Raw genomic sequence first — 9,819 nt, 5'->3', positions numbered from 1 at the left:
CAAAGGCTTTAAAAATAATAAGGCATGCTCCAGAAGAGCAGAGTGCATTCCAGCAAGATAGCTGGACCAAATTGCCTTCTGCTGGGTGGGGGGAGTGGGAAGGCAGGCAGCTGGCAGCTTCACAAATTAAGCACATTAAGGACACAATTAGTAAAGGAATGTCATCCCTCCATCTCTTCAGAGACACCCACAAACACAGTCTAAACACATACATGAATTCAGCTCACAACTTTACTCTTATACACACGGGCTCCAAAGAGACACACACAAACGCAGAACCACAAACACACACGCAGAGACTTGGGTACAATCTTGACATGGCACACATGCAAAATACACGTTTGCACACACAGACACAACATATGCACAGACATTAGGAAGAAAATACGCAGTGCACTCCCATTGCTTAAGTGTCAATGTCAGATGCTGGGCCCCTGCAGGTTTCTGAAAGTGGCCTGGGGGAAGAGGGAGTCAGAGTCCCACAGAGACCCTCCTGGGCAGAGCGCATCTTTTACGTAATCCTCTGGCATGAAATGGTGAAACGCTGATACCCCCAGACCTCTTGAGCCCCGCAGATGATGAGGCTTTGTGGCCCCCTCTCCCTCCACACCCAGTTCTGAAGAATGCTTGGCGTCAAGCGATGCAGAGACCATCCCAGAGTCCCCCTGGGTCCTTTCCCTGGAAAGCATCCAGAGGAAGTCTGTGGTGGCCCAACCCTGCCCAGGCTGAGAATGAGATGATATTTGGCAACCTCCACTATCCCCTTGTTTTAAAGTCAATAATTTTGCAAAACTTTTCATTTAAATCATTGAACAGCGTAACTTTGAGAAATGAAATACATTTTGTAGGATGTAGGCATTATCGCGTGCAATTGCTGTCCTTCTCTGCCCACATCCCTACTCTCTTCTCAGCAAGAAGAGGAGCCTGGGGCACCTGTGGCCACTTTAAGCAAGGCTAAGTCAGGACAGAGAGGAGCCAAGACATGGGCAGGAGGAGGGCGAGAAGAGGCCGTGACTTTGGTGCAGTCCTTGAGGGCAGCTAGTGTGAGTCAAGTGTTGATTAATACAGATAAGGTCAAGTCTAGAAGGCCAACTCTATTAAACTCAAATCTTATTATCACATCTTACATGGACATTAAAACCTCTCAGATAATGGCAGCTATGTGCACTGAGGGTGACATCGTGGTTTTTCAGGCACTGGAGAAATTACTTTGACAGGGAAACTTACGTGCTGAAGGCAAAACAGCAGATAAGCGAGCTGGGCCATTTCCTGAGAGTCATGAGACAGGATACAATGTGGCTGTCATGCTAAGTGACATTCAGTCCCTTCAGAGGTCGGCCTGGTCATGCCTGCGAGACGTGGCCCCAGCAGCAGGGTCACCCTTGGGCCACAGAGCCTGCAGAGATGGCCAGGGCTGCACATCTGAGGGGACACCGGCAGGCGAGGCAGAGCCCACATGGCCTAGTGGTGTATTGGTTTATGCAAAAACATTTCTCGGTTTTTTGGATACCTAATACATTCTAAAAGATACTTTTTTAAACTAAATAACAATGGAAGAATAAAATTGTGGACTGTGTGCACCCCATAATGCAGAATGAGCACGAAGGTTTCTGTACATCTTTATTCCTAGATGCTTAAATGTCAAATAAATCACAACAAAATATTCTCTCCGCTTAATGCCATATTATTAATTCAATAGTTTCTTTTTCTCAACTCAGCTATCAGTAAACTTTCAGGAAGCCTCCTCTATATTATACACGGAAAGCACAAGGGTAAATGGTATTTGTTTCCTCTGGGAAATATTTGCTGATTGTAGAAAATTGTGTGAGATCCTTCCCACTTATGGAGAATACCTTCATGAGGCAGAATAGATTTCCTCAAAACTTCAAGAGTGAGCCTAGAGAATCAATGCATGCACACATGTACACACATGAGCACACACACACACGTGCAGTGGTGGGCAGTGGATGGCCCCCAAGGTCCCCGTCCCTGCTATAGAATCCCCTCCCCAGGGCTGTGAGGTATGGGCTATTCTCCCCCAGTGACCGCTCCCTCTACAGCAACAGGGATTCTGCAGAGGTAATTGAGGTCTCTTGTCAGTTGACTTTCAGTTAACCAAAAAGGAGATTCTCGCAGTTGTGAGCCTGACGTGATCAGGTGAGCCCTTACAAGGGCCCTTCTGGAGGGAGAGACTGGAAGTGAGAAAGGGCCGTGCCAGCAGCCCCGACACAAGGAGCTAGGGGTGACCACTAACAAGGAGCTAGGGGTGACCACTAGGAGCTAACAACCACCCCCAGGTGACACCCAGCATGAGAATGGGCGTCCCTATCCTACAATTCAAGGAACTGAATCCTGCCAACAGTCACGTGAGTCTAAAGAAACAGCCCAGGCAACGCCTTGATTTCAGCTTCCTGAGACCCTACGTGGAGAGGCTAGCCACGTCGGGCCTGAACTTCTGTCCTAAAGAAACTGCAAGACAATAAGTAGCTGTTGGTTCCCCGTTGTGTGGTAATTTGTTATGCAGCAATAAAAATCCACGTGCTCACACCAGCACCCTTCCCATAGCCACCTGCTTCTGAGTCCATTCCATAAACAATTCCAATAATCAAGACCATGGCATTCAGTAACTCCTGCATTTTATCCCTACGTCTACTTCCCAAATGTCCTGCAATGTGCACACACATTCACTCACACACACACTCACACATGCACTCACATGCAAATACATACACATTCACACACTCACATGTGCACTCACATACAAATACACACACATGCACTCACATGCAAATACATTCACACACATGCACTCACAAATACACCCACACATGCACTCATATGCAAATACACACACATTCACACACATGCACTCACATACAAATACACACACATGCTTTCACAATCAAATACACATACATTCTCTCACACATGCACTCACAAATACACACATTCACTCACATACACACATATACACATTCACTCACCTTCTCACATACAAATACACATTCACTCACACATGCACTCACAAATACACACACATTGACACACACACATGCACTCACAAATACATTCACGCTCACACGTACTCACACATGCGCTCAAATACACATTCACTCCCACACTCACTGGCACACTCGCACATTCATTCAGTCACACATACACACACTTGCATACACGCACTCAGTCATACACACTTGCATACACGCACTCAGTCATACACACATTCAAACATAAACACATATTCACACTCATACACACATTCACTCACACTCATACACATACACAGTCACACACATGCACTCACACACAGGGACTCACATACACATACTCAAATACACATGGACTCACACACGTGCAGTCACACATTCACACACACATTCACACACAGGTGCACACACACAGGCACTCACCTTCACACTCACACAGGCACACTCCAGGGCCGTCTTGCAAAGGAAGCAAGTTCTGGGGAGGATGGAAGATGGGAGGGTTACATGTGAGGGACGGAGTACAGAAGGTTCTTAAAGGCAGGAGTGGGAACGGGAGCCTGGTGGGTGCCCAGAAGGTGGCAGCCGGGTTCCGCTGGAGTCTGAGCTCTTTAACAGGGAAGGTCGGGGCCTGGAGCTGGCGAGGGGCACCCACAGTGTGGATGTGGCGGAGAGCTCTGCCGGCCATGAGGAAAGGGGATGGCCCGAGCAGGCACCATCACCCAGGTCAGGGCTTGGCATGGATGGCGGCGGGGGGCTCCCAAGCAGACCTGCTGCGCAAGGGGCTCCTGCCAGCAGAGCAAAAGCAAGGGCAGCACGGCCCTGCCGAGGGACAGAAGCGACTGCCGGAGCAGAAACCGGGAAAAAAAGGGCCCCTTGTCCCACAAGAAGTCAGTTGAGAGAGAAAAAGAGCAGGCCCTTATCCCACCAGGGTAAGTGCCCCCGGCAGAAAACAAAACAAAACAAAATGAGAGGATGCATTCTCCCCTGGTGCCTTCACGTTCTCAGCTAAAGACCTGTGGCGCCCACAGTAAGGCTGAGGACGCCATGGAGGCAAAATGCCATGCAACTGTGGGGCCTGCATGCGGCTCCAGGAAACCAAAACCCACTGGGGCTCAGCTCCTCTGGGAAGCAGCCAAGCAGGTGCCCTGCCCTAGCAGGACCATGCCTACTACTCCCCACACAGCCTTTGCCCACCTCCCCCTCGCCCACCCGGACCTGCACCCCTGGGAGCTTGTCACACGTGTTCACTGCCCTGCCAAGCCCCTGGGGATGCCCTTGTGTTTGGCCGTAACTAAGTCCTCATGTTGTGATCCAATCATTTCCCTCAGGGAGTAAGGGAGTTCAAGAAGACCATGGACAGGGTGTTTATTACACAACTTCTTCACAGTAATTCTCCTGCCAGTACTTTCTCACTGTTTAAAATCAATAAGGAAGAGGTACTGTATTAGTCCGTTTTCACGCTGCTGATAAACTCATACCCGAGACTGGGCAGTTTACAAAAGAAAGAGTTTTAATTGGACTTACAGTTCCACGTGGCAAGGGAAGCCTCACAATCATGGCAGAAGGCAAGGTGGAGCAAGTCACGTCTTCCGTGGATGGCAGCAGGCAAAGAGGGAGAAATTGGGCAAGGAAATTCCCCCTTACAATACTGTAAGATCTCATGAGACTTATTCACTATCAAGAGAACAGCATGGGAAAGACCTGCCCTCGTAATTCAATTGCCTCCCACCAGGTCCCTCTTACAACACGTCGGAATTCAAGATGAGATTTGGGTGGGGAAATAGCCGAACTATATCAGGTACCAAGGGTAAAACCCAGGGAGCAGCTGAGGGGCCACCAGGGGCGAGAATGAGAGGAGAGGTGAAGGGCAAGTCCAGGACCCCAGGAGCGTGGGTCCCAGGCAGAGGCAGCCCTGAATGCAGGGAGCAGACCCTCCCCTCCTCCAGCCCCTCTGTTTGCCACCAAAGGGCTGACTCTCTGGGAACCAATCTTACGGTGACCACTGAGCGGGCAGGAAGCTTCCTGCAAGTTGAAAGCATGAAGGAGAGAAGAAGAGGTCTCAGGAGCACAAGCCAAGTGGGGCTGGCACAGGCGAGCAGGCAGAGAGGAAGCACACAGCAGGGGATACAGTGAAGGGGGCCTGGGGTCATGGCAGGCGATTCATGTGGCCAGGGTCCCACCTCCCTGTCAGAGTGCAGGGCAACCAACTGGTCTCTGGGTCAGGATGCTGCCTCACCACTCACCGTTGCACACCCCTGCCAGACAGAGGCCTGTAGCTACCTGGATTTTCCCCCAGCAGAAAGAATGTGGACTTCAGTGAGTGAAAGTCTTCATCACTGGTGGTCCAAGATGCTGATCAAAACAGAGCTTCCTCCTCAGCCTTGACCAATGACAGATGTTCTGATAACATTACTGTGTATGGCACTATCACAGACCAAAATTTATAGGGATGTTTTCTTGAATCTAATTTTTATTTTACTACGTATTTTTTGAAATAAATGCATATTTTCCTAGACACTGAGTCAATTCCATAAACACCTGTGGGTGCCAGCAGGCGTGCTAGGAGCAGAGGCCATTGGAGACATGAAGGCTCCTGCTGCTGGGAGACTCAACTGGCCATAACCCAAGTGCTATGTGTTGGGTGAGGAAGGCTTCACCCAGGAAGGGACGTTGAGCACGGATAGGGGAGGAGAGGACCAGGTGGGATTTGCTGGGCAGACAAAAGAAAGGCAGTGCAGAAAGGAAATAACTCCTTCAAAGGCCAAGATCTTGATGAATTAAACTAAGGAAGTACCAATATAAATAAAGAAAGGGGGGAATATGAGACCCATTAAAGGAGAGTGAATTCCAAAGGCCTTCCATAACGGGGGTTAAGGAGCTGAGGCATTCACCATGACCCCCTGTGAGGGAGCGGAAGGTGGTATCACCAGTGGAGACTTGGAAGAGGCCGGAGGAGCAGGCTGCAGGAAGGAAGTGAGTTCAGTCTTGACTGTGTCTGCTGGACATTCCAAAGCTGCTGTCTGCTAGGCAGTGAGGAGTTAGGCAGGTTCATCTGGAGACCAAGGAGCAGGGTTGGTGGTAAAAATAATGATAATAATAATTAATTAATAAAAAAAAAACCCTGGAGTGTGAGTTACTCAGAAAGAGCATCTGTTAAATTAGCAGAGAGCAGAGCCATGTGGAGCACACATTTCCTACAGAGTTTGTAGGGTAAAAATACATAAGAGGTGGGTGCAGAGAGAGAAGATGTGGTTGCAGAGACTGATGAAGAACAGACATTGCAAGTAAGAGCAAGGGACATGCGGACCCACAAGCATTATCACTGTGAGCTGGGGATCAAAGCACTTTCTGGGTGCCACGTGCTTCATCGGCAAGGCCTCTTCAGTCTTCCCAAAGTTTCTGTGTAGTTACTTGCTCTCTTCCCCATTTTATAGATGAGAAAAAGAAGTCTCAGAGCTGGTAAGTTATGAGTCCAAAATCACACAGCTCTTACCTGGTGCAGCTGCCGTTGGAACTTACCACAAAAAAAAACATGCTCTTTCCACTCTGCTGGGCAGCACCAGGTTTGTCACAGAAGAATGGGAAGGTCACACCTTCAGATTCTAGAAAGAGAACGGGTGAGAGGCGTGACTGTCACCTGCCTACAGGAGAGCAGTTTTGGTGGAGTTTGAGAAGTCGCAGCCAGATTGCAGAGACTAACGGAGGGGCTGGACGGGGAGCGACATAGGCCAGTTTCTCTTGCCAGAAAGAAGCTCAACCATGGCATGAGACAGGCCTCACTCGGGCTTTGCAGTGAGGGCATTTTTGTTTTCTCTTTTTTGTTGCTGTTGGTGTTTTAAGCTTGTGCATGTTCATAATCTGTGGGGGAAAGAGTCAAAGAAGGAAACATTGAGGACTCGGGAAAGCAAGAAGTTAAATACAGGAAAGAACAAAGTACCCAAGAGGAAAAAGGTGAAGGTGTCAAGATGGAGAAGGAGAAATTATCCCTGGATGAGAGGACAGCGCCTTTGATTCAGAGACCTGAGAACAGCAGGGAAGGGCATTTGTCGGCTTGGGGCCAGGAAGCTGAAGGAATCTTCTTCTAACCTAGGGAAAGATGTGCATGCCAGCAGGGGCTGAGATGGGGCAGTGGGGAGAGGGAATGGAGGAGCATGGTAACAGTGGAATGGCCGTTCCCTGAGGAAGGAGAGCATACCCACCCGAGCCCCATGTGCAGCACAGCAGGAGACCTCACACCAGTCCTTGACCAATCGCATAACTCTCCTATCTTCTTGGCCAGCCATCAGTTGCAGGTAAGCAGGAGGGGAGAGCAGATGGCTCTACGGGTTCACAGTTGGGCACTGGCAGAAAGTCAAGGGGAGAGGGACTGGCAGGGGCTGGAGTGACCTTCAGAAGACATTTACGAGAAGAAAGGCATGTTGCAATATGTGTTGTAATGGGAATTGGCAAGACCTTTATACCACCAAGCATCTAAGGATGCAGTTTTGAATCATGTCGAGACAGCTCTACTTGGAGCTTTGTTTAAAGGCTTCCTAATCTTCTCCCCCACCCGCCTCTCTTTCAACACATAGTAGATAAATGCTAAATAGACAAATGTCCCAGTTAGCCTCAGTAACAGAGGAAGCCTCAGTAACAGAGGAAACCCAAGCTGTAGGGTTTCCTACATTTTTCCATGGAGGAAAAATGTGAAATGTCCACACGCACAGGTGGTGCTCTGTCCCTGGCCGCACTGCATGTGGCCTGGGTCCCTGATGCCATTCCTCTCCAGGAATGGCAAGCACGTCCTTTGGGGCTCTGCATCCTCAGAGCTGTCTTCTTCCACATGCTTCTCCTTGCAGCAGTCTTTGTTCCCTTATCTGTAAAACAGGGCCCAGGACTTCAGGGGCTGCAGCCCTTTAAAATTCTAGCAGTTCGTGAGCCCTCCTCCTCCTTCAGCAGCTGCTCTGTAGCCATTACTTCTGCATCCTCCTAAGACACTATAGAAAGGGTGCACCCAGCCCCAGAATGCTGGGTGACTCAGCCCTTCCTAGCTTCCAGATGGATGGCAAGCCCAGGGCTGCCAGCAGGGGCATGGGCTGGGGACAGAAAACAAGAATGAAAAAGAACAGTGCCTTTTGGCCATCTTCCCAGAGTCTTGCACCTCGTCACCACAGTCTTATTAACCATTTGGTCCAAAATATTACCTTAAAAAATGTGTTGAAAGTAAGCCACTTTTTAAAAATCATGCAACTGTCACTATGGAAAACAGTATGGCGTTCCTCAAAATATTCAACACAGGATTACCATCTGATCCAGCAACTCAACTCCATTTCTAGGCATATATACAAAAGAACTGAAAGCAGGATTTCAAACAGATATTTGTACGCCCGTGTTCATGGTAGCATTGTTCACAACAGCTAAGAGGTAGAACCAAACCCAGTGTCCATCGATGGATGAACAGATAAGCAAATTGTGGTATAGACATGCAATGGAATATTATTCAGCCTTAAAAAGGAGGGTCATTCTGACACTTGCTACTACATGGATGAACCTTGAGGTCATTATGCTACCTGAAATAAGCCAGTCACAAAGGACAGATGCTGTTTCATTAGACTTATATGAGATACCTAGAGTAGTCCAATTCCTAGAGACAAAGTAGAATGGTGGTTGCCAGGGCCTGGGGGAAGGGGGAAATGTGGAATTGTTGTTCAATAGATACAAAGTTTCAGACTTTCAAGATGAAAAGACTTCTGTAAATGGATGGTGGTGACGATTGCACACCAATGTTCGATGAACTTAATGTCACTGAATAGTACATTAAAATAGTACTTAAAAATGGTTAACATGGTACATTTCATGTTATGTGTATTTTACCAAGATAAAAAAAAATATTTTAATCATGCAAATGCTTCCTTCTCCTTCCCTACTCCAGGATCAGCAGCCACACTTCTGTCCCAAGGAGTGAAGCTGAGTAGAGAGCGCACCCTCTGCCTGGGACCTGATGAAAGATCCAAGCAGACAGCGGCCCCCTGCGGAACCGTGGACACCGAGCTGCCTCCTGTTCCAGCAACAGCCTGGACCCCCGACTCTGGGTGCAGGGTCCTCACCGGTGTCCCGTGACAGCCGACACGCACTGCGCAGCCCGAGTCGACTGCTCCCACTCCGCGCTCCCCTCCTGGACCCCGCGCAGCTCTCCTGCGCAGCGGCCAGGCTACCTTCCCAGTCTCCATCAAAGACATAAATTATCGAAATTCTGCCGCTACTCCTGACAGAAGCGAACGTGAGGGGTCTGTGGGCCTCCGACCCTGGAAGGAGCGCGCGGTGCCAGTGTTGGATGAGGACGCAGCGTCGAGCAGGAGAACGCAGCACGGAGGAGGGCGCGGCCGGCAGCAGGGCGCAGCAGGCAGGCTGTGCTGGGTCCCCTGACGCTCTCCCCTGCTTGTTCCACGGCCGCCCCGCAGCGCCCTCTGCCGGCCCAGCCCAGAGCGCCGCTCCCCGACACAGCGCGCGCCGGATGTGCGCGCCCCCAGGACCCAGAAGCTCTCCCTGCCGGGCCTCGGACGCGCAAATGCGAAGCCCCACTCTCCGGAGGCACGGGGCTCTAGTGGGTATTATTTTTTATCCCTCTTCAAAAGGCCAGGATGTGTTAGATATGGGCATCGCGTTTCTAGTGTCCCTCTGAATCGACCAGTGAATGGACCTATTTCCAGTAAACTTTCGCAGCAAAATGCGAAAGAGTGAGCCCGGCGGGAGACGAGAAGGGCGTTCACGACGAGGACCCCAAGGGGGAGAGCTTGCGGTTTGAGGGGCTAGGCCCACAGCGAAGGCCTGGCTTCTCTCTTCCCTAAAAAGT

The 9,819-nt window shown here is 49.9% G+C and overlaps 1 long non-coding RNA gene across 1 annotated transcript, besides 2 other annotated features; it reads right to left on the bottom strand.

The window, feature by feature from the left end:
- Positions 399-568: an enhancer, noted in NCBI's record as "experimental_12372 CRE fragment used in MPRA reporter constructs". NCBI's record gives its function as "activates a minimal promoter by MPRAs in K562 erythroleukemia cells, with activity observed for the introgressed 10:44194638 variant allele {active_cell/tissue: K562}" and the evidence as "EXISTENCE:reporter gene assay evidence [ECO:0000049][PMID:34662402]".
- On the bottom strand, positions 4,477-9,493 carry LOC124902417 (uncharacterized). The gene is made up of 2 exons (XR_007062133.1): positions 7,187-9,493; positions 4,477-6,589 (listed from the first exon to the last, which is right to left on the bottom strand). It is a non-coding gene; the product is annotated as an uncharacterized LOC124902417 (long non-coding RNA).
- Positions 9,409-9,508: a silencer, noted in NCBI's record as "silent region_2337". NCBI's record gives its function as "represses an Ori minimal core promoter by ATAC-STARR-seq in GM12878 lymphoblastoid cells {active_cell/tissue: GM12878}" and the evidence as "EXISTENCE:reporter gene assay evidence [ECO:0000049][PMID:35858748]".

Source organism: Homo sapiens, chromosome 10, assembly GCF_000001405.40.
Source record: "Homo sapiens chromosome 10, GRCh38.p14 Primary Assembly".
Lineage (NCBI taxonomy): Eukaryota > Metazoa > Chordata > Mammalia > Primates > Hominidae > Homo > Homo sapiens.
Note: the sequence above shows the minus strand (reverse complement) of the source record. Positions and strands in the feature narration are given on the sequence as shown.